Below are 26,459 nucleotides of genomic sequence, written 5' to 3'. Positions count from 1 at the left end.
ATGGCAGAAAGTGAAAGGCACATTTCACATGGCAGCAGGCAAGAGAGAGGGCTTGCACAGGGCACCTCCCATTTTAAAGCCATCAGGTCTTGTGAGACCTATTCACTATCATGAGAACAGCATGGGAAAAACCTGCCCCCATAATTCAATCGTCTATCACTGGGTCCCTCCCATAACACATAGGAATTATGGGAGCTACAAGATGAGGTTTGGGTGGGGACACAGAGACAAACCATATCACTGCGTTACTTCCCATTGCCACCTCGTTGTATTTATTTGTCTTCTTTCTTTCTTTCTCTACCATCAGGGACATAATCCTCTTATCTCCCTTGCCACTTCTTTCTCTCCTCTGGCTCCCAGGGAAGTCAGCCAAAATGAAAAGCAAATAAACATGAAAAACAGTGAGATGTATGAATTTTCTTTTATTTCTACAATCCCATAAACCAACATTAAGTGCAAAAATAATGTTGGGACATTCAGGGGGAAATATCTGTGGAAATGACACAAATGTGACAGCAACTATAACTGGAAATAACGCTGAATTTATAAAGTGTTGGATCATAAAGTATTTAGAGAATATGGTAATGTGTGTGTAAATTATGAAAATAAAAACCCCACTAAAACATGTTTAAAAGTTACTGTATAAAACTACATTTTGTCTCTAACTTATTGTTTAGGGATTAATTTTTTACGTAATTAATAAAGCTTTAATAGGGATCTTCTTATTTTAATACCTCTAGGAGGAAAATGCACATAGCTTTCCTTCTATTTTCTGAAACATGGATCTTAATCATTTTTGATTAAGTTCAAGTTGCAATGTCATGAAGTCTGACTTTGGAAGTACCATTTAGGCATGGGAATTTGAGATACTATTGTCTCTCTAGGTATGTAGGTTTCTCATTAATATGAACTATTAACAATTATGACTAATCAAACTAGTTTTACTTTGTGTAACACCTTGTAGTCAAAGATTAAAAAGGTTTGATTTTCTAGTAAAGTTGCCTTACATTTTATGCATGTGAAGATTTTTTCTCTTTGACCCTATAGCAATTCTGTATTTTTAAACAAAGTTAGTGAGTATTTAGTTTGTGCTCACAGTAAATCTACCAGTATTAACTGCCTTAAGACATTTTATTTTATTTGTTTTATTATTTATTTATTTTATATTTATTGTTTATTTATTTATTTATTGAGACAGAGTTTTGCTCTTGTTGCCCAGACTGGAGTGCAATGGTGTGATCTCGGCTCACTGCAACCTCAGCCTCCCAGGTTCAAGCGATTCTCCTGCCTCAGCCTCTCGAGTAGTTAAATACAGGTATGCAACTACTAGATACATAAGCTTTGGAAATTTTGCTTTAAGGATTATTTTAAAAATACGTAAAGAGTACCAGGCACAAACTAAAACCTCAAAAAGTGTACTTAGGTTTCCTTTTCTTTCTTCATCACTGTCGTCATAGGCATCATCATCTAACAATCTTCCTGCCCTAAGTAGTTGTTTATTTGAACTCTGCAGGAATTAGAACTATTTTAAAACATGTATCTTGGCCAGGTGCGGTGGCTCACACCGCACCCCCAGGACTTTGGTACCCCAAGGGGGATGGATCACCTGAGGTCAAGAGTTGGAGAGCAGACTGGCCAACATGGTGAAAACCCATCTCTACTACAAATACAAAAATTATCTGGGCATGATGGTGGGCACCTGTAATCCCACCTACTTGGGAGGCTGAGGCAGGAGAATTACTTGAATCTGAGAGGTGGAGGTTGCAGTGAGCCAAGACCGAGCTATTGCACTCCAGCCGGGGCAACAAGAGCGAAACTCCATCTCAAAACAAAACAAAACAAAAATAGCCAATCGAGTTGGTACTAATGTTTCACTTTATGAATACAGAGACTCATACTTTAAAAACTTAAATACATTTCCAAAGCTTTTATATCTAGTAGTTGCATAGCTGTATTTAAGAGTTGGATTATTCTTTTAACCATTATTGTGAAGTATGTGATTGCTAGAGGGTTTAAAAAGCAGGAGAAGAAAAAAACATTCTTGGGAGGCCAAAGGAAATACAAAATAGGAAATTTTTATTTCCTAATGTGGTTTAACTTATTTCATGTTCAATTCTTGCTTTTGGATAGAAAGTGTTCTATCACTGATTTGGCTTATAGTATGTGTCAAAATTTAATTCTTCAAAATATCTCACATGCCACCTCATTCTTGAAGCTTTAAGAAAATCCCTTACTTGATACTATCTCTTCCTTATTTGAGCTTACTTAGCTTGCACCCTTCATATATTGCCTCACCTACTTTATCAATCTCTCTCCCTGCCACATCTGTCTTCCCCCTGTCCCAATACACACACATATACACATAGATTAAATGCCTTCAGTAGAAGGACAGTTTCTTTTTTCATAGTTTGTTTATTCATTTCATTATTCACTCATTAATTTATTCATACATCTAACATACCTGTATTAACAACACACAAGAAGCAAGTCACTTCTTTGTCTTTCAAAGTGTGCATTGTCTAATGAATGAAAAGAGCGAGTGCACCAATATTTATCATGTAGTGCTTGTGGGGCCACCTTGCACATTTTGTACATAGTAGGCCATCAGTGAGTATTAATTGAACAGATAGGTATGCATTGTGTACGGAGTCATTTTGTTGAAAATACTAGTATAATTTTATTTTGGAAATCATAGATAAAATGGTGTGATTAAATACTCTTAATTATTCAATACTTTGATTATCAGATTACCTACGCACTATATGGCTTTACCTTATAACCTCAGGTTACTCTGTATGTAAAGGAATATATGTTGATTATATTTAATGCTGTCTCTGCTTTACACAGGTTTCTATAACATATGACTAATCTATCCTTGGAGGAAAACTGGTCCAGGGTATGTTGGAATCTACATTTTGCTCAGCTGAGTGATGATGAAATTTAATTTCATTTTTCACTATGTTTAGGGTAAAATGTCTGTCAATAATATGTAAAATGTCAAACTTTATGTCATCATTAGAAATAATATTTCTGTTTGAGAAATTAGATACATTGTGTGAATGTTCTAAAATGCTTTCATTATTGTTTCATTTTTATTATTAATGATTAAGAAATGGGAAAATGAGAAGAGTTTTCCAGTATACTGATAATCAAAATAAATTGTGTAATAAGCTCTCAAGTAGACTCATGTCTGGAGTCCAAAAGATTATGCCTTGGGCTTAGAAAAGTCAATATAGAAGCAGCTAGAAAACAGCATGCTTTAAAAGTAGAGCCCTGATAAGAAGGGCATGCATTCTAAAATCACTGTTCCATTAAAGAAGGTGCAAACCTACTTCTCTCCCTGTTTTAAATATTGTTTGAACTTCAGTTCCTTTAGCCAATTTTTTTCCATATGGGCCATTATATTTTCAAGAGGGGCTCTATGAGATTTGAACTGGTATGAAATAATGTTTTATTTTCATCTTAGGAATGGTAGGATGATTCCCTGGCTCATATCCAAAATTCAAGAGGAATTTTTTTCCTCCTGCTTAACCTAATAAACTACTTTTGTTGTAAAAAATGAAATTTGTTTTGACTATAAACTCAGATCTCTCTACCTGTATCTCTTCAGTGTCCACAGAAATGTGGTCAGTTGGACCTCATGCCACACATATCAACATACTTGTAAAGATGCATTCAGCAGCCAGGGTCTAACAGACCTTTATCAACCATCTACCATGTACAGTGCATTGTGGTGGGCACAAGAGAGGCAGACTGCATAAATCAATATCTCTGCTTTTGGGGAGATTACAATTTAATGAGGATGCATTGAAACAAATATTAGAGCACAATGAAGAGATAATGAAGATGTATGTTTGATGTAAAAGAATACAATGACTAACACTGTAAGGGAGGCCAAGTAGTGATTCACAGGCAGGTTGATTTTAATCCAGAGCTCAAAGTTTGAGTGGGATACCATTAGATTACTACAATGAAAAAAAAAGTGATTAGTAGTAAACAGTGATTGTAGGCTCTCTATAGTCTCATTCTATGCACTTTACGTATATTACATTTAATCCTCCCAAACCTGTGAGAAAGCATAATTATGATCCTACTTTAGAGATGAACAAGCTGTTAAGAGGTTAATTTACCTAGTGTTATACAACAAATGATCAAACTTTGATGTAAATCTAGCAGTTCGGTGCAGGGACCTGATTCTGGACAGAAAAAAAAATGATTAATCCAGGACATAAAATATGAATACATATATGTCTTTAGGTTTGGGAGGATAAAGGTTCAAAGGTTGGATGACTTGTAAATATGACTGGTGAAATAGGAGGCTTGAATTAGAGGTTGGAGCAAGATAGTAATTAGAGGTTGGAGCAAGATTGTGAGTAGGATTATATACCAGGTGTTTGTAGTTACTATTGTTACTATGTATATCTCCAACAATGAAGAAAATATACATATCTCTTTTTTTAAGTATCCCAATGGGATTTCAGAAGAAAATTGTGGTAGCAGTGTGAAGGGTGGATCTTACAGGAAATAGAATATAGAATGTTGATTGGAAATCAGTTAAGAGGACCTATGCAATTGTATAGGTGGAAGGACATTGATGACGACTCAAACCATAAATATAAATCTGTAGTGTTATAGAAATGTAAGTTTTGACTAATAAAATGATCTTATGATTAAACCTCCACAACCAGCAAGAAATTTTGCAATACACAAGGTAGACAAAGTGATAAACATAAAACATTAACATTTAATATGAAAAGAAAATTAAACAGGTCTCAAAAGCAATAGCCACTTTAGCTGTGGCCAAATGCTTACAAAAGATAGCATATAAATGTGGGAACCATTCAGTTTTCATAATAAAAGGAAATTTAGTCTCAAAGCAGCAACTTCAGATAGAAATAAGCAAGACAGTAATGAAGTCTCTGAATAACTCCCTCCTCAAGAGTGAATATCCTTGGATTTTTGACAGGGATCAGTTAAATTGTCCATAAAGTGCAAAGGGACAATGGAACTAAATTGCCTCAGGCTGTGTAAATCAAAGTTATAGTTTAGAGGCAGTTACAAAACCAGAAATGTGTATGAACTGTTAAAACTTTTCATTTTTGAAACATAACCATATCTTTGTCTTTGGCTCTCTCTCTCTCTCTCCCTCCCTCCCTCCCTCTCTTCCCTTCCTTTTTCTCTCAAACTCCAGCAATTTTCATTTTCTGCTGGAACAATGATACGTTACATCAAATTTCTTGGTCACACCCAGAAAGAAGTAGCAAGGTTGTAAAATAATCAGCCATTGGCTCACTTAATTAGTGGAAAATTGTGCTGTTTCCTCCACCACTAGAAAGAAAAATAAAAATAAAAACCTATTGATCTAATCTAAGCCCTAGACGGAGATTTTTTTTTAATTAAGTAAGCCCTTAAGCTGATTGATTTTACATGGCACTGAAGATACACCATGTTAGTCAAAAATGCAAAAAAAAAAAAATGTATTCAATGCCTGCCTCTAACACTCAAGTAAAGCAACATATCACTCTATCCCTGGATCTAGCAGAAAGCCTGGTACACAGTAGGGACTTACATATTTCTGTTGCCTGAACACTGAACGTTGGTACCTGTGATCTAATTCATATGAATCATAGTATCCAAATCTATTATGAGAGCTGAGTGATTATACAAAAATGTGTTTAAAATGAGTTTTGGCGCTGCCCTATTCTAATCTCTCTTTTGGCCTACTGCAGTGAAGTGGCTTCAACATTTCAGCCTAAAGTTATTTGCTCAGATGAAATTTATATGGGAGCTTAAAGAAATAAAACAAAGAAAAAGCAGAAATTATGTTATTGCAAACAGTTTAGAGAACTGAAAATGATCCTGTCTCTTGCCCTTATTCCAGTGCAGCCAGTCATAGGGTTCTGGAAAAAATGCAGTTAGAAAGCTAATGGTACAGAAAATATTTATGCTAAATTGATCACATACCTTTTATAGTCTTTTGTTTTCAGGTTTTCCTCTTCACAGGTCATATAGTCTTTAATTCATGGCACCTTTTTCCTCTTGTCTGAGTTTCTTTAGCCTTTTACTCCAGTGCTGACATGAAAACAGCGTGTTGTTTAAATTAACTTTTAACAAGGTCAGTCCATTTGTAAATAAGAAATATAGCTTTGGTTTTATGTGCCGTTAGTTATTTTAAATAGCTGACTTCTTAACAACTTACCTTCATAGAATATCAACTTTACAGCTTTATTGCAGTATCATTGACAACACAATAAATTGTCCCTATTTAAAGTGTACAGTTGGATATGTTTGACATATGTATTTATTTATGAAATTATACCCACATGAAAATAATAAACAGATCCATCATCCCCAAAAGTTTCTTGGTGCCCCTTTATAATAACCGTTCCTCCACCAACCCTGGTTTTCAGGAAAAACACCGATCTACTTTTTCTCACTGTAAAGTAGTTGCACTTAATAGAATTTTATATGATTGAAATCATGCAATGTGCTTTGTATTTTTCTTTCAGTAGTTATCATTATTTGAATTACCCGTGTTGTTATATTTATCAATAGTTTGTTACTTTTTGTTGTGAAGTAGTAGTTCATTGCATGGCTATACTATAATTTGGTTTTCCATTGACTTGTTGAAGGCCGTCTACTCTTGTCAGTTCTTGGCTATTACAGACAAAGCTTCTATGAACGTTTATTTACAAGTCTTTGAATGGACACATTCTTTCGTTTCTTGTGGGTAAATCTCTAGGAATGAAATGATTGGGTCATATGATAAGTGCATTTTTAAATTTTTGTAAAACTGTTGAAATATTTTACAAAATTTCTGCACCATTTTACATTCCCACTAGTAGCATATGACAGTTCCAGTTCCTCTGTATCCTCACTAACACTTGATATAATCAGTTATTTTAATTTTAACAAATGTAATCAGTACAGAGTAGTATCTCATCATGGTTTAATTTTGAATTTCTTTAATAGTTAATGATGTTGAGCATCTTTTTATGAGCTTATTTGTAATCCATATAGATATTTTTGGTGAAATGTCTGTTCAAATCTTTTGTCATTTTTTTTTTTCTACTCTGGTATTTATATCTTTCTTTCAAATTGTAATATATGAGGCCTTTGTTGTATGTGTTTTACAAATGCCTTCTCCTAATTTGTATATTGAATTGAAGTAATGTATCTTTTAATGAGCAAAAGGTTTAGGTTTTGAAAAAGTCTAATTATTTTAATTTTGATGGATTCTAATTTAATTTTGTAGTTCATGATTCAAAAATCCTGTCTAAGAGACCATTAACAAATTAAATGCCACTAGGATTTAATCCATATTTTCTTCATGCAGATTTATCATTTTAGCTGTTATTTGTTAGGGGTTATTGACCTATTATATCTTTATTAGGCATTAATAATCAATTTAAAAAATTAACATTTTGTCATTTTGTATTATCCTTCTGTACATATTGTTTTATATATTTTTATACACTTCTTAAAATTGTGTTACTAAGTTTATATCTATGTTCATGAGTGATATAGGTCTGTGGTTTACTTTTCCTGTAAGATAAAGAAGCTGATTTCTTACCCACTTTACATCATAGTATAAATGTGATCTTTTATGATGCATTCCTCAGTCCCAGCTTTCATTCTCTTTTCCTGTACTTAAGGCGTTTTTCCTCACCTTTCTGCCCTGGACCTTCTGTTTCTCTAGGAGTGAAAAAGGGAAGTTCCCTTTCCTCTCTATCATAAGGGTCATGGCTGAAACCCCTTTATCAAAAGACAGGTTAACAAGATAAAGGCATAGCAAGTGTATTTGATAGTTTTACATAGCATGGGAGCCTTCAGAAGGAAGAATCAAAGGTACAGAGAAAACGATCTGTTTTTATTTAGGTTATATGAAGTATATTTTTATTTAGGTTATATGAAGTATATTTTATTTAGGTTATATGAACCACCACATAGAAATACGATTATACAAAAAGTATATAATCTAATGCTAATAGATTGGGTGGGACAACTCAGCAAGGCCTGTCTGTTTAGATGTTTCTTGATCCCTCTGTGCGACACTTTTCCCTCCTCAGTATGGGGTAGGACCCTCTGGAATGAAGGTCTTAATCTCTTAATGGCCAATCGTGACTCAGGAAGAGGTGGAGAGAGGTTAGAGTAATATTTTTAGGTTTTACAGCTGGCTTTGGGGAAAAAGGGTTCTAGACCAACCTTGGGGAAAAGAGATTGTATGGCTTACCTCAGGGGAGACTGAGGGGCAAGAGGCAGGAGGGCGGGAGAAGATCAGAGAGAAACTGCTTCTGAGGCTGCTTCTTAGGCCTTCAGATTGCGTTATCATTTTGTGAGACTCCACATATTCATAACATTATCATTATTGTCATTTTTTTCTGGATTCAGTAGTTATCATATTTCCTATAGTGTCACACCACTAAGCTCTCAGCAATGATATGCATAATAAAACGTTCATTATTATTATTCTGCTATCACAGCTGTTATCAACCCTATTAGACTTGATGCATTTTATTTTAACATATATTTTGCAAATTCCCTTTCACTACCTGGAAATGAAGTGTAAGTTCAACCCTATTAGTACAAATCCCCCACTTAAAATGAAAAGCAGAAATAAAGGGTGAGTAATTTACAATGAAATAGTTAAATTTCTTTTATTTTATTAATGCTTGCTTGGGAAATCTTACTATGAAGACCTAATGAAGTAATCATATGCTTTTTTTGCACCTATACATAGAATGTCTTTAATGAGTCAGCTATAAATACAGATTTACTTTATCACATTTATTATACCATTTTAGTCACATTCATTGTATAATTCTATCAAACATCATCAGCAGTATTCCTATGGAGGTAATGTGACTTTGCCTGATGGAAAACAACTATTGATTTAAAGGAAAGTCTCTCTAAGATTAATCTTTTTTAAATTTAGATAGAGATTGCTTTATGGAAACTTAGTCTATAACTTAAAATGTATCAGAATCCTTTGTGTTTTATGTAAAACAGGATTAGGATTAAGACTCAGATTACTCCAAACAGATTCTTTTTCCCCTTGTTGCCCAATAGGATATTCAAAACCATATTGGACATGGAAGCCTTCTTCGATGTGCAGGACTGTCCTGACCTTACCTGCTAAAATTCCCATGTTGTCATAAATCGATCTGACAAACAAAACATACTGCCTCCCAGGTTTTCAAAATCTCCCCTAGGAAGTAGTACTGCTTCTGTGAACAGTCACCAGAACAAAAGTTTAAATAAAAATTCCATTTCACCTTAAACATTATTCAATTATCCCAACTTTTGTTTCTTCAAAACTCATAATTAACAAAATTAGCTTGGAGAATATTATTTCTAGGCATAACATAGTTTGCTATATATTATTGTCTACAATTTTTAGATAGGATTTTCATATCTGCATATTAATCCCATGAATATAGGTTAATTAGCCTCTTTGGGAATCCTGATGAAATTGTATACATTTAAGGAAAAGTATATGCTTTCGATAGCTAAAGTCAACATCAAAATATAGAGACAAATCTTTAAATTTTAAGTGTTTTATTTTGGAAGCAAGAATTGCATTCTGGAGCGTATACACAGGCTGGATGATCTTTGGTATGTCCAAAGAACAAGGAGAAGGTTGGAAGTTTGATAACATGGAGAAATGTTACATATTGTTCTGAAAGAAAATTCAGTAGCACTAGTAAAGTTTTTCAGGAACTGGCAAGTTCTGATTGGTAAGAGATGGTGGTGGGGGAAACTAGTCTTAGAGTCCTAGTAGGTTGTCTCAGTAGCTATTAGATTGGTTTCAGGTTACAACAGGCAGTTTCAGCAGCCAGACTTGGAGAGAATTACATTATTGAAGCAACGTTATGTGCCCTGAGTGCTTTTTCTTCCTGTCCTTTAGAGCAGGTATGACAAAATGACCCCAATTTGTATGGTCAGCTTTCACACTAACATTAAAACAACTCTTTCTCTCATGTGAAGTAATACAAAATGGCTCTATTTCGTTGTTTTCACTTGAGAATCAGAGAAAGGATTTTTAAAAAAAAAAGCAAATGGGAACTCGGCCCTGTAGCTGCAATTAATAGGTAACAATGTTGCAAATGCCTACTTTTGAATATATTTTAAAAATCAAATCATTTGTTAAAAAATATGTTGAACTCTCAGAAGCTCTTCAGAAATATCACTTCTAATATAAGATTTTATCTATTTGGAAGTCTTTGTAATAGGTGCTAATTTGCATGATGAAATCTGGTCCAACATGGACACTATACTCATAATGATGGTGATGCTATGTTGCATCATGTTCCCCTTAATGACAGTGTTATTTCTCTTCACTATCTTCTGGATTTTGTTTTTCATTTAACATGTTCCATGTCAGGGGCAGAAATGAGATGCTGAAACAGATTTGCAGACCTAGGAAGAGGAGGGTCAAGGAAAGAGATGTTGGCCTTAGGCACTATAGTACTTAAAGCAATTAAACATTTGGAGAATTTTTGTTCATGTCATGTGTCTTTTGAGTAGTGAGAAATCTTAATTAGAAGGCTTGCTTAAATTTTTAAACAAATAAGCAGTAAATGTTGCTGAATAAATTGTCAACAGTCTTCCTTCTCCCTATTGGTATGTATCCCTTAAGAAATTTTCAGTGACAATTTCAGGAACTTCCCTAGGGTTAATGAAGAACTACCAGACTTGAAAAATGCACACTTATCATGAAGAATAAAGATATTAATTCAGCATAACAATGATATAACATTAAAAATAAAAATGGTAAACAGCAGTCTGGAGTTCTATGTTTAAAAATAATTGTGGCCTTTTTTGAGACTATTTTTTTCTTTTTGGAGCACCTTTAAATTCACATCAAAATTGAGAGGATGGTACAAAGATTCCCAATACTTCCTACACCAACCCATGCATAGCCTCACCCATTATCAACATCCCCCACCAGAGCGGCATATTTGTCATAGCTGATGCATCAATACATCATGATCATCCAAATACCATAGTTTACATTAGGGTTGACTCTTGGTATTGTACTTTGTGTGGATTTGGACAAATGTATAATGACATGTATTAACATTATTGTATCATACAGAATATTCTCACTGCTCTAAAAATTATCTGTGAGTCACCTATTCATCTTTTCAGCCCCCCCACCAAAGAATAATATTTTTAATACTTAATGGTGTAAGTATTTTTTACAGGTTAATGGTCAGTTATAAACAAAAATTAACCTTAAAATATTAAAATATTGTACATAGTTACTGGATTATGCAATATCCTAACATACAAATATATTGTGAAGTATTTTGAACTAAAACATGAAGGCTTATTTCAAAATAGAGGTATTAAATAAGTTTGAGAGATGTCATAGTTGAGCTTAGAGTGTGGTAATAGATTTTCAATATATCCTAAATGCCTACAGTTTCCAGGTGTTAGGTTTTGCAGAATGATCCACCATATAGAAAATATAATAACTTATTATATATTGTGTATATTTTTCAAAGTGAAATTATAAGGGAAATCTAATACTGCAAATATAATAGAATGTGCTGGGAAAATGCAATTAAGAAAACTGCGGTAGTCAAGTATGCAAATTATGTCCATCTGTTGAACAAACCCTTGGGATAACATGGAATTGATGGAAAGAAGTGAATGATTATCTTCCAAGCATTCCTGTCAGAAGTCATCCATTTTAAGCCTAACTGTCAAGATAGGAGCCTTTTCTAAACATTCTTAGTACGCCAGAATCTTTCCCTGGTCTAAATGACTTAACAGGCTCAAAAGACAGAACAAGAACCAGAATAAATTCAGATCCATTTGCCAATTAAATCTGTATCAAACTTGAGCCAATTCAGTCTCTTAAATGGCCTTGGCAATGACTTAGCTTCCTGGCTAGAATTCTCTGTAGAGTGCAGGTATATCTGTGTCTCGGACAGTCAGAGGTTAGGACGTGAAATTAGTTATAGTAAAAAACCCTAGAGTTTTGAAAAGGCCCTTTTTGAAAAATGACTTTAAGGTCATTTTCAAGGGTCAGAAAATTATCCTGTTTTCTAGTGTAAATCCACATTACATCACAGCTTTCCTCGCCCAGTTCCAAGCAGGCTAGTTCCCAGAACCACTGTATTTGAGAATAACTATAGACCCTGAGGTTCTGGAATGCACTAAAATAATTCACACCCCAAAGGTTATGTCTCACACAAAGAAGACATGCGAGACAGTCTACTAATACTAGAATTGCCCAAGTTATGTTTTAAGTGGTCCTATTGTAGGTCATTTTCATTTTAAAATTTCATTTTAATCGCTCATTAGATACTTAAGCATGTGTCCACTTGCTGGGATGTTTTCTTACATAATCTATAAAGTGAGATCACGAATGGATAAAAGAGTTTAATGACAATGGATTTTCTCACATGTAAGACACATTATGAAATGCCAAGAGCTCATAAATGTTGACTACCAGACCAGCTGGTGTTTGGCAGTTTTCTTTTGTGCCAGCATTTGTTTTCCTGCAGGAGTCCAGAAATAGGCTTAAGTGATATCACCAAGTGTCTTCTAATTTAAATCTGTCCACAATATGTGCTGGCTAATGGTTAAGTGGGATACCATAGCCTTCCTGGTTCCACCCTTTCTGACATGAGCAGCTAGCTATACTCTTTAGCGTCCTGAGTCTTTCTGATGCGCGACGAGGGAATTTTCCTTAGTAAATGGAACACAGTGATGATTGTTTTTAAGAAGTCCTGGTACATTTTGGCATACCTACATGATTTCACACTGGGTGTATCATTGTCTTTTATATGGCATTGCTAAAATAAGGTTATGGAAATTCAGAGACTTCTTAAAAATGTAATCCGTTTAGCTAAATCCTTCACTAATAATGTGTAATTGATTAAATTAACATTCACAATATTTAAACATTCTACCATTGAAGTAAGTTAATTGTTAAAACAAAATAGAGGGTGTAGAAAGGGTAAAAAGTAAGGGCTGTCTAGAAAATTAAAATGATTGATGATCTTAATACGAAAGATAAGCTTCTAATATTGTGTAATGATTAAGGCTAAGTGTTTATATATATATATCCTTATATATAAACACACACATAATAATTGTATGTTGCACTAAAATATTTTAATGATCTAACTATAACTATTATAATCTTGTTTCATAAATTAGAAACATGTATTAAGGGTAATATATAAGAAGAATTGCAGACTCAGTTCAGTAGTAAGTTAATCTCCCGAAGTATATTTAGAAATCTGTTGTGGTAAGTAAAATATATTTCAGTTTGGCTCTTATTATTGTTGTGAGATAAACAGGATTCACTTCATTCTCTACCGAACCTCATCTTGATATTAGAAGCAAAATTAAAGAGTTTGATCACTTATTTATTTAAATAAGTTAAACACTTTTTAAAGTATTATTTAACAACTTTTATAGCTTTGAAATTTAGCAATGCATTTCCAGAAGTTTTCATTTCTTTACTCGAATTTCTTGAATAATTCTTAATTGTTCCTTGTTTTATATTTTTGGTTGTTAAATTTCTTACTGCTTTGATAATTCCATATACCAATTTTAGGTATACAGGTAAACATTTCCTATCCTCTAAGGGTTTAATTCTCTAGTTAATGAACTAAAATAGAATTATATGTCATGCGATAGTTTAGGGAAATATGTATGTTAAGGAAAAACAATATTAACTTTTGGGTGTTTTAGGGCCAGTAAAAGCCATCAATTTACAAAATATGTGTTCCGCAGATCTCTGTTAGTCTTCTTAATAGGTCTATTTAAAAACATGATTTTGTAAGATGGTTATTTTAAGATTGAAGGGGATCTTCATATTTTATTTATTTTTTATTAATTATTTATTAATTAATTAATTTTTGAGATGGAGCTCTCTGCCTCCCGGGTTCAAGCAATTCTCCTGCATCAGCCTCCTGAGTAGCTGTGATTACAGGTGTATGCCATCATGCTTGGCTAATTTTTTGTATTATTAGTAGACACAGGGTTTCACCATGTTGGCCAGGCTGGTCTCGAATTCCTGACCTAAGGTGAACCACCCGCCTCGGCCTCCAAAAGTGCTGGGATTACAGGCGTGATCATCTTGCTTTCATTCTGGGTGGTTATTAAGAATAAAGGGAAATTAGAAGAATGCACATGGGCACTATGTCAGTGATTCCAATTAAAGGTAAAACTTTTGATTTGCCCCTGAGTCCTCTTACTAGGGCTACTCATTTTTGCTATGATATATTGATTCAAATCATGGTCTTCTTAAATATTTAGATATTTAAAAATAGTCCAGGCGTTATGTTGTCTGTTATACGAATTCCCAAGCTGAATATGAAAATTTATCTTTCATTATCTGAAAAGTTAGCTTAAGCTTTCCCAATGTTCCTTCACATTTTTGACAGAACTAATAATGTCTATATACTGAACTGTAGATTTTACAAGTAGCATGATTGCAATTGGCAAGTAAAATATAATGAAAAAAATCTGTTCATTTCTTGGTATTGCTCATAACTTGGCTTTCTTGAAATAAAATGTTCATATTTTATTTAATCTGATTTTTTTTCAAATGGATGAAACTAAAAAGGAAAAGAGACAGAGATCTCAAGCTGTTGGACTTTGAAATTTTGGCAGAGAATTATTTTTTATGAAAAAAATTGTTGGATGAGAATTCAAAACATCCGCCTCTTTAGCCCTATTCAGGCTTCCATAATGCTGTCTCAGAGAACACAAAACAATGAAGGATCTAGCTTATCTTACTGGGAAAATTATTTGAAATGTTGGCATGCAAGCAGGAAGAATTTTAGCAACCTCTGTGTACATCCAAGCCCCTCACTTTCCTTCTTAGACCTTAGTCACTATCATTTCTATGAAACTAGCAGAATTATCTTCATTGATATGCAAATGAATGCACCAACAGTAGCCACACTATTTATTTTCCATGTGCTTTGCAAGCCAGAATTCTGAAAGGTTTCAGTAATTTAATACACAACACCATCAACAAATTTCACTAAATACAGTCAAGGAGCTTCACATATGCTACTGTAGTTTGTGGCGACCTTGACACATTCCTGATGCTTGTTTTAAGTTTGTTGAATGCCAGTGAGGGTTTTTCCCTTTTTCAGTGGATAAAATGATAGTGAGGAAGAATGGAATGTTTAAAATCTTTGTTTCCATTTTTGTTCTTTCAAGTCACATAAAACGTATGGCATAGTTGACATTTGAGCTGTAAGATCAAATGGAAAAGGTTGGCCCTGTTTTGTGTGAGTTGAGTTTCTTTTTCAGCAGAGCAATTAAATTGTCTTTTCAATCCAGACTACTCTCATTCCCTATCAGTTTGTTGTATTCTTCTGAGAGTGATGAAAATTGAAATGGGATACAGATTATGATAATGGAGCTTAAAAGGAGGGGAAGCAGAAGGAATTTACCCCTCTTCTTTTCTATTTTCCTTCTCCTAATTCTTAAGGTAATTACAAGACTCTGGAGATGCAAACATCTTTATTATCTATGCAAAACGCCATCTGCTGGAAGCACATTTTGCAAACCTGCAGGGCCTGAATATGATACAAATCGATTTAGTAGAAGTGATGCTTTGTTGTACTCTTCCTTTACTCCAGTGCCAGACTTTCCTTAGGTATCTCAAGAGCTCTGTTTCTAGGAAACTCAAAGGGAAGTGGGAAACATCCAGATATTTGACTTCATCCAAACCCTACTGTCATATTCTTTTTTTACTAATGTTTTAGAGGAGAGTATAATTTCTGGATTAGTGGATCATTTCAGTTATCTCATTAAGAACCTGTCATAGTCTGTTTTGTGTGGCTGTAACAGAATACCTGAACCGGAGAAACTTATAAAGGAAAAAAGGTGTATTTAGCTCAAGGTCCTGCAGGCTGGGAAGTTCAAGGGGCATGGCACTGTCATCTCCTCAGCTTCTGGTGAGGGCTTTGGTGCTAGGGCAAAATATGATAGAAGGTCAAAGGGGAAGCAGACACACGGGAAGAGGGACCAGACAGGAGGAGGAACCTCGCTTTATAACAGCCAGAGTGCACCTCACACACACACACACACACACACACACACACACACACACTCTCTCTCTCTCTCTCTCTCTCTCTCTCTCTCTAATTCATTCCCAAGAGAACTAATACAGTCTTGGGAGAGTGCAAGATAATTCACTACCAAGAGAATGTCACTAAGATATTCATGAGAGATCCACCTCTACAGGGTGCTGCCAAATACCTCCACAGGGCCCTGCTTCCCAATACCACCACATTGGGAATCACATTTAAACATGAGCTTTGGTGGGGACAAACCATATCCAAACCACAGCAGAACATTTCTTTCAATAATTTTCAAATTATCACAAAGTTAATAAATGTAAATGGCTAGCCAAAAATCACTCATTCAACAAGCATTTATTAAGCACTTACTATTTGCCAGGCAAATTGCCTAAGTGTTAAGGGTACAGAGAGGAAGTAACACACAGGTTCACGCATGCATGTGTATGTGCACCACCTCCTCCCTACCCCACCTCCATCTCCACCCCCATCCCAAATATTCTTCTGTCCAAGAACTCACCAATTAATCAGCAGAGACTATACAATAATTTCCATAAATTTACCACCAGAGTGATGATAGTTTGTCCTTTTATACTTAGCTTGACTGGTTTTTAGGTAATTGCACTTTTTTTCCACTTAAGTGACCTATATTATCCCTTCCTGCAAACCCTTCCATTTTTTTTTTCTTTGTTCTCTGAGTGTTTTCCCCCCTCACAGCCTCTCTCTATTCCATGTGCTATCAGTTTTGTTTCTTTGCCTCCTTTCTCTTTTTCATTATTTCATATATTCTTCCATCTTCATCATACATGAAAGCATACATTTGTATGTCACACTTGATTAAAACTTGAACGCTTAATTGGAGTCAACTGTTACTTCTGGTTTATAATTTATCTTTATAGGAATCCCTAAGACTTACCAGATTTGGCTTTTGAAGCTTTTCCATTTCAGGCAAGCTTCTGTGTCTTCCTTTTGACCAGTCCAGGAGGTTATTTTGTCAGGTAGATGACTAGCAGCCCCAAGTCCTCCTCATAAGCATCTTACAGACCCAAAGGAACTTCAAGTAGATAAGATTCTCAATAATCTACCAATGTACGTGATAGCCTAGAGTTATTAGCATAAATATGTAAAACAAACTTTAAACGCTAGAAGCACTCTGGGCTGGACAGTGCTCCTTCCACAACCGATGCAAATAAGTAACAACTTAAGTAAATAAATGCATATAAGTAACAATGGTAGAGAACTGAAACCTTCTGTTATAGGTTGGTACACATAATGAACATAGTTTTATATCCTGTGCCTTAACTCAAAAGCAAAAGCAAAGATGAACAAGCAAAAAACTTGGATGAAACTTTAAGAACAACCACAAAATTTTAATTTGGGTTTCAAAGCTGAAATGACTAAGTGGCTTCACTTAGTGTTTAGGGCATATTAGGCAGAAGGAAAACAGGTATAAATCTCAGGGTCCAAGGAACCACAAATACATTTCCCTGATCTCAGTGCTTGATAGATAGATACATAGATAATAGATGGATAGGTAGATAGACAGATAGATAGATAGATAGATAGATAGATAGATAGATAGATACATAGATACATAGATACATAGATAGATACATAGAGAGATAGATAGCTGTTTTGGTAAGAAAAGACTAAGAAGATCAGGGAGATATCAAGGATACACATTATATTAGTTTGTTACAGCTTCCACAACAAAGTCCCATAAATCGAATGGCTTAACACAACGCAATGTATTGTCTGAGTCCTGGAATCTGGAAGTGAAAGATGAAGATGTTGGTAGGATTGATTCCTTCCAAGGACTGCAAGGGAGGGATTTGTTCCAACCTTTTCTCCTATCTTTTGATGATTGACTGGCAGTCTTTGACATTCAGCTGATGCTGAATATACTGACTATCCTCACCTTAAAAGTATTATCCATGAGGTCTCTGACTAATGCACCAGCTTATACATGAAAGGTATTAATATCAAGAGCCTAACTTGAGAATTGAAATGTGCTACACATGCCCACAACAGTTTGCCATCCCAAAATATATACGAGTGTATTAATTATACATGTAATAATTGTTCTTTAATATAAGCTTGTGAAGTGGAATTAAAAAGGATCTTTGTCTTATTTCTTTTTTTCTTGTTTTGTTTTTATCTTTTTTTATTATTATACTTTAAGTTTTAGGGTACATGTGCATAACGTGCAGGTTTGTTACATATGTATACGTGTGCTATGTTGGTGTGCTGCACCCATTAACTCGTCATTTAGCATTAGGTATATCTCCTGATGCTATCCCTCCCACCTCCCCCCACCCCACAACCATCCCCGGAGTGTGATGTTCCCCAATCTATGTCCATGTGTTCTCATTGTTCAATTCCCACCTATGAGTGAGAACATGCGGTGTTTGGTTTTTTGTCCTTGTGATAGTGTGCTGAGACTGATAGCTTCCAGCTTCATCCATGTCCCTACAAAGGACATGAACTCATCATTTTTTGTGGCTGCATAGTATTCCGTGGTGTTTATGTGCCACATTTTCTTAATCCAGTCTATCACTGTTGGACATTTGGGTTGGTTCCAAGTCTTTGCTATTGTGAATAGTGCCGCAATAAACATACGTGTGCATGTGTCTTTATAGCAGCATGATTTATAGTCCTTTGGGTATATACCCAGTAATGGGATGGCTGGGTCAAATGGTATTGCTAGTTCTAGATCCCTGAGGAATTGCCACAGTGACTTCCACAATGATTGAACTAGTTTACAGTCCCGCCAACAGTGTAAAAGTGTTCCTATTTCTCCACATCCTCTCCAGCACCTGTTGTTTCCTGATTTTTTAATGATCGCCATTCTAATTGGTGTGAGATAGTATCTCATTGTGGTTTTGATTTGCATTTCTCTGATGGCCAGTGATGATGAGCATTTTGTCATGTGTCTTTTGGCTGCATAAATGTCTTATATCACAGTCATTGCTTACAACTGGTTGTTGTTGATCTCATATACCGGCAAAACATCAGGCTTTGATCTTAGTGCTTCTGAAATGTCAACAACTGAGGAATTAAGAAGCAATGCCTTATTTAGTGTTTTTACACTCCCATAGTAGACACTATTTTGCAATTACAGTTTGAAAATATTCTGAGGTTAACATAAAGCTAGCAGCATTTTAATTTGGAAATATCTATAAGCAGAGATAAACTTTTATATCTATATAAAGTTACATATAAATAATATATAATTTTATATCACATATTTATACATATATGAAATGATGTTATATATTATATAACATATATGTAATTTATACATATAATATATTCTATCAATAGCTTTATTTACTTTTACTTTTTTTAAAAATTACCCTCTTTTAATCATAAAGAAATACAGATAGAGCAGGTGAAAAAAATATACCTTTACAAGAATCATGAGGAATAGGTAGCTGATGGCAAATATTTACTGTGCTCTAGGGGTAGCTCCAGTGGATTTTCTTATATTCGAAAAGTCATTTTCTACCTAACACATGCTTTATGGTTAGAGCTAATTATAGTTCTTAGAGTTCTATGACAAGCAATAGGCTAATGTCCAATATTATCCAGATAACAATCAATATTAACCTGAAGGCTGGCTAATGCTAAGTGTTTAATATACAGAAATATCCTGTGGATGTGGGACCACACCTTCTCAATCTTAAAAGTGCCTTTTCTAGTTGACTTAAGCAAACAAAATGTGAAAACAAACTATTCAAACATTAACAGGAAAGCTTCCTTGAGGTTCAATGTTGGAAATAAGCCCATTACTTGTACAGTCATTTCTATAGAGGCACATATCTCTTCCCTTCCTTCTAAACGAGTTGTGTTCCAAGATTTTATTGGAAATGAAGTATCTAGAACTTTGGATATTTTCTCTCTCTTTTTTTAAAGTTTTAAGTAGCTAAATTTTGAGGTATCCAAAATCTCTTTTAATCATAATGGGCCTAAAATGTGTAACAAATGACCACCTATATTACAGCCAGAATTTTTACTTTAGCCTTTCTGTAGTTATATTAACAAGAAAAATTTCTAGGCCTTTCTGAATGACTGGAAAGAGTTTTGAGTAGTTAGAGATTATGAAGATTTGACGATGTGTAGGGAAATGTCTTGCGAGTCCTCAGCCAAGTAGGGCCGGACAAAGCAAATAATAACTCTGGCCTCAGGTAGAAAACATAGGCCCATTCTCTCATTCACTCTCTCATTCATTCAGTGTTGAAGGAATGTTTTCTATTTTCTGGACACACTGATAAACACAGATGATACAAAACAAACAAGCAAGCAAATAAACAAAATACATAGGTCTCTGTTTTTCCTGAAGTCGCTGAGAATCAGAAGTAACAGAACATTATAAACAATTACAGCATCACTTTCTAAGGATGGATGAAAAATGCACCCAGGACTCAAGGCATCATTGAGGAGGATCACCTTATCTAGCCTGGAAGTAGAGACAAACGGGCAATGCAGTTAAGGGAAGTGATTTTTGAGCCAAACCTTGGATAGCTGAACCACAGAGAGACTGTAAAGTTTTCACGCGAAAGAGTAATATTTTTATGTTGAATTAGGTAATAGAAGTTATTTAAATTATTTCTGCCACGCTTCTCTGAAGAACACCTGACCATTGATTTGTGTATTTTTGTAATCCCTTACAACATATTTTTAATCCAACTTCATTCTTGACTTTTCATTATTTTAATGGCTTTGTAGAAGTTATAATTCATGACTTCCCATACCATTTTTCTATAGAGTAATTTTCAACATGCAATTTCACATCCTCTCACACTAGACCGGAGATGACAGTAATAGTAAACAAGTCTGAACAAATCATGGCCACGTGAAAAATACCTGCAGCTTTGACAAGCTACAATATTAGCTTCCATTTTATAACTTTTTCTATTAATTTTTCGTGTGATAGTCAATATTGAGGTTGAGAACATGAAATTATGTATAGATGTTGTCATCACCTATTTGTTGATGGGGCAGAGTTTTGATAATTTTGCCAACGTCGTTTATATTTCATCAGTCCTCTACAAAAACATTATATTCCTTGTATCTATTTCTTGTTCTAATTCTATATTTACCCCCCAAATAGTTGAAAAATAAGGAGTATATTATAAAACATTTTCCATTAATTTAATGAGTGGTAAATATATACAGGCAATTAGACGTAGTGGAAAAAACATAAGTTAGAGTTTAAACTATTGATCTATCCCTGTTCCCTGATGAGTCCCTACAACACATACACACAGATTTTATCTCATGCTGACAAACAGACTTTGGGCAATGTTATCATTTGTAAAATGGGAAAAGGGCTAGCTTCATGGGCAAGTGAACAGTATGGTTACATAGGATCCAGAGCTTAGTACTTGAGATTTAATGCGGTTTGGTTCGCATCTTGAAATCCATATTGGTTTTATCTTTAAATTCTTGTTTAGCAAGTTGAGCTTTTGGGGAAATGGAGTATATTTTGAGTGCTTGGAGCCTCATTCCTGCACTGCTTCACCTCATGCAGCCTCTCTGTCTCTGGATCTAGGAGAGTTTCTCAGCTGCCTCCCTCATACTCAGCCTCTTTTTCTCTGTACCTTTCTGTGGCTGTTGTCACCCTCCACCTGGAGAGGAAACTGGAGGGAGGACTATATTCCATTGCTGTTCTCCACTCTCATGGTCACAGGGCAAGGAGGCATGGACATGAGCTCCACAGTGTTTTGGAACAGAGCAAAGCTGTGGCCATCTAATCCATTGGCTGGTAGCCACACTGTACATTCAGTAGGTGAGTTGGCAGAAGCCTCTTACCCACCCTTATCCAGGTACTAAGTGCATCCCAACAGGAGGTACAATTTTGGGGGGATCATCCATCCATCATGCATTGGGGCGGCTGACCACTGGACAATGGATATTGACTTGTGCATTCCAGCTGGGATCCTATGTCTTAATTTTGCTCTGGAATCTATACATTATGTAGCAGGCCTTGAATGGAAATTATGCAAACCTTAAACTGCAGTAGGACTTAAATAAGATACATGTACTGGACATAGCATAAGGTCTGGCATAAGGTAAAATAAGTTCTCAATAAAGTTGTTATTCTTCTCAAGCCCCATTTCTTTACTTGTTTGCTCTCATTGGCTAAATTAGATTGATCTATGTTGATGGATAAAGATGTCTTATTCCAATACACCTTAACACATTCTCATTGAGAACCATGAACATTAGTTCTTCAAAAGGAAATAGCATTATTTATGGGATTCATTTAATTTTTAAGTAATGCTCTTGCAGTTGAGGCATGTATCCACAGTATGAATACGACAGTTAATGAATAAGAGTAGACTTTTCTTGTTCCTAGACTGGCATATTCCAACACTTTTGCAAAAGAGAAAAGCAAGGAGTTGAATCAAGTCTCAGCACAACCAACCAAATAAGCAGGCAGCACACCACAGCAGCTTCTGTTCATGGTAATATTTCATTTTCTCATGATCCATTGTCTAGCCAATAAAAGCAGTGCCAACTTTTCATCCTCATATCACCCTCTATGATCTTACATTAAAAACACGAGCTAACTTGTCATTAGTTTAATGTCTCTGAAAGTAAAATAAGCGGACTGTTAATATCAGCTCTTTTATCTTGCTTAAGAAGGCTACATACATTAAACTTAGGAAACAAATTACGGTGTATAGCACTTCAGACTTGTATAAAGTAGTTTGTTTTGCTTTATGAATATACTTAACATTTGTGATTATAGTAACCATAAGATCTAAATATTATTCTATTTTTTAAAATAAAATATCTTTTTACTATAAACTACTAAAATTCATTTATATAAGACTGTATTCATCTCTTTTGATAATAAAAATATAAATTTTAAGTTAAAGTTTTATGACATGGAGCTATAGATTAATGTTATAGCCACACAGCTGACCTCTGAACAATGTGGAGGTTAGAAGTGCTGACCCTCACACAGTCAGAAATCTATGTATAACTTTTGGCTCCCCAAAAGCTTAACTATTAACAGCCTACTTTTGACTGAAAGCCTTACTGATAACATAAACAGTTAATTAACACATATGTTGTATGTAATTTGTATTATGTACTGTATTCTTACAATAAGTTACACCAGAGAAAAGAAAATGTTATTAAGAAAATCATAAGGAATAGAAAATGTATTTACTAGCTGTTAAGTAGAGGTGGATCATCATAAAGGTCTTCATCCTCATTGTGTTCATACTGAGTTGGCTAAGGCGGAGGAGGAAGAGGAGAGTTGGTCTTCCTGTCTCAGTGGAAGTGAAAGTGGAAGAAAATGTGTGTGTCAGTGGACCAGCGCATTTCAAACTCATGATGTTCAAGGGTCAATGGCACATTATTTTTTTCTAACAAGAAACTATCAATATTATACTTAAAAAATGGTTAAATGACTTCAGATTTTAAAATATCACAAAAGGATAGGCATGGCAGAATTTCAACAATACCTTAAGTGTTTAAGTAGAGAAAAATCATACGATAATTTAAATAAGCACTACTGTAAAGAGTTTTAAAAATTAACATTTTTTCTACCATTTAAGAATAGAGATGGCACATGTATGCATATGTAACTAACCTGCACATTGTGCTCATGTACCCTAAAACTTAAATATAATAAGAAAAGAATAGACAATAGTAAGTTCTAGAATTAATCTGACATAATTCTAATCCATACAAATTTGTGCACATTTTATAAACTCTTTATTTGACTAATCTGCGCATGTGTAATATATACCTCATATGGTAGATGTTATTAAGGTATATACTATCTTATTTTAAATAAGATAATTTATATAGTGGTTTACATAATGTAAGCATTCAACAAACAGAATGGATTCTATGATTATCCTTCTTAATATTTGTATTGGTGTTATTATTCTCAAGAGGCAACTGAAATTATCTTCATAGACTTAATATTATATGAAGATTTGTCACTTATTGTTGTTTTATTTTAGAATATATTATTTAACCTGAAATAATTTTCAAATCAACGTAATCATATGCTATATTATATAGAACTCTGCAGTAAGAAGTTTTTGGCCTACATAAAGCCATTGGAAAGTCTAAACAAGTATGCATTTACTGTGATGAAGAATAGTGTGTATAGATTAAGTTGTTTATTTTTTTCTTATAGCACTTTTCCAGGATTTGCAAAAGCATGTTTTGTGTATATGGAAGCTATTATTAGAAATAAATTACAATTTTCTTTTGCTTCTGTTACCCAGAGGTTTTATTGTTTGTTTTAATGGAATACAGTGGTTTAACTACTCTACTTTATTATTATTATTATTATTATTATTATTATTATTATTATTATTTGAGACAGAATCTCATTCTGTCACCCAAGCTGGAGTGCAGTGGCATGATTGTGATCTTGGCTCAATGCAACCTCCGTCTCCCAAGTTCAAACAATTCTCTCACCTCAGCTTCTTGAGTAGCTGGGATGACAGGCCCACATCACCACACCCAGATACTTCTCCTATTTTTAGTAAAGACAGGGTTTTGCCACATTGGCCAGGCTGGTCCTAACTCCTGGCCTCAAGTGATCTGCCCGCCTCAGAATCCCAAACTGCTGAGATTACAGGTGTGAGCCACCACGTCCTGCTGGGTTAACTACTTTAATAACTACTTAAGCAAACCAGGAGGTTCTGACTTTCAATCTAGTCTTAGTTTAGTGCCAGGACATGGGCATAAAATGGACAAAGGCAATGGAAAATAGGGTAAAAGGTACAGAAGAAACAGAAGTAAGAAAAGGAGGAAGAGGAAGGGGAGAAGGGGGAGAGGGTAAGAGAAGGGGAAGGAGGGGAAAGAGACTAGCAAGAGAAGAGACACATTAGGAAAATGCATGAGGAAAAGAAGGAACAAAACAAAAAGAAACAAAGTAATTGAATAGAGCAGAAACAATGAAAAGAGAGGATGAACAATATTAAGAAAATAAGCCTCTTTATTTTCTAAAATTGTTGCTAATTTTTACTCTTCATTCTCTGTCTTTCACTTCTTTCCCTCTGGCTTGGTATAGAACCTCAACACCTCTTCTGACCCCACTACCACTGCCCTCCACCAAACACAAATAGAGAAACACAACACATTTTTATCTTTCTTTGAGATTTTCCAGAGCTTTGGTTAATAAGAATCTAGTGGGATGGAGTAAGTTTCCTTCCTTTTCTTTCTTTCTGAAATTGTTTTATTGTCATTTCAGATCACAAAATTACTACCTATTTTCATATACTGAAGAACAATACCCATTAGGAATTGCATAGTCATTTGACCATGGCTTTTTAAACTCATGTCTGTATTTACCTCGATGAGCCACTGATGGTTTACCTCTATGAGCATTTACGATTTCTGTTCCTTGGGCTACTCCAGAACAAGTTAAGGATATTTATACAATATTGGTAAGGATGATACGTAATAGTGAGTAGGAAAAATATATTCTACATTGTAAGATGTTTTCAAATGTCCACTCATATTAAGTCACTGCATAATATGGCTTGACAGCCAGCTTTGTTGGAATTAAAAATGAGAACTGACAATAAAGACATAGGATGCTATTAAGGGTGTTTAGATAACTGAGGTAAAGTTGACCCAAAGTATTGTTTTATTTGTTTTTGTTTTAGAAACAGTGGCCAATTTCTATTTATTTTCTCTTTTACACAGATTTATGGTTATTGTATTTTCCTAAAAAAGCAACAGATGAACAGAACAAACAACTGTAGTAAATACCTCTATGTAAGACTATTCTTGCATGAAATATGAACTCTCATAGCAGGAAAAGTTGTCACAGATGAGAGGAAAAAGTCTGAGTTAAAAATAATTTTATACAAATATATTTTCATCTATTCAATTCTGAAAACTTTCAGTTTCAGTAATAAGAGAAAACTAGACAATTTTGCAAACTGTGATTTTATACATTGTGATCATGGGTAATTTACACTTCTGTAACCTGAAAGTTTAGCTGGCATTTTTTTTCTCACAGTTTTCTATTTCTGATATAAGTAACAAGTTTGTTCTGTTGAAGAGCAATGTTGTTAGCCTATCTAATTGTGTTTGTTATAAGATTTGTTTCAAGTTTAATAATTGTAAAAATACCATTTTTAGATCAAGATAATACAAAGCATTTATGGTCTACTACTCAATGTTTGCTTTCACAAGTGCTTGTATTATAATGATATAGCAGGTAAGAAGTGAAATGGAAAAAAAAAACAGTTTTTTAGCCATGAACACTAGTTTAATAATTTAGTTGCTATACATTGCTTTGTAAAAGTGAGAAACAACATTGGTAAAAAATTGTGGATGTACTTAATGCTTCTTAAAAATACATCTATTTATACACACCAGAAGGGAGAAATCCCTCAACTCTAA

General features: G+C 34.5%; 1 protein-coding gene across 38 annotated transcripts in view; it reads left to right on the top strand.

The window, feature by feature from the left end:
• PTPRD (protein tyrosine phosphatase receptor type D) overlaps positions 1-26,459 on the top strand; it is a 2,298,757-nt gene that overhangs the window by 364,917 nt on the left and 1,907,381 nt on the right. The gene's annotated exons all lie outside the window — the stretch shown is intronic.

Source organism: Homo sapiens, chromosome 9 (genome assembly GCF_000001405.40).
Source record: "Homo sapiens chromosome 9, GRCh38.p14 Primary Assembly".
Taxonomy (NCBI): domain Eukaryota; kingdom Metazoa; phylum Chordata; class Mammalia; order Primates; family Hominidae; genus Homo; species Homo sapiens.
Note: the sequence above shows the minus strand (reverse complement) of the source record. Positions and strands in the feature narration are given on the sequence as shown.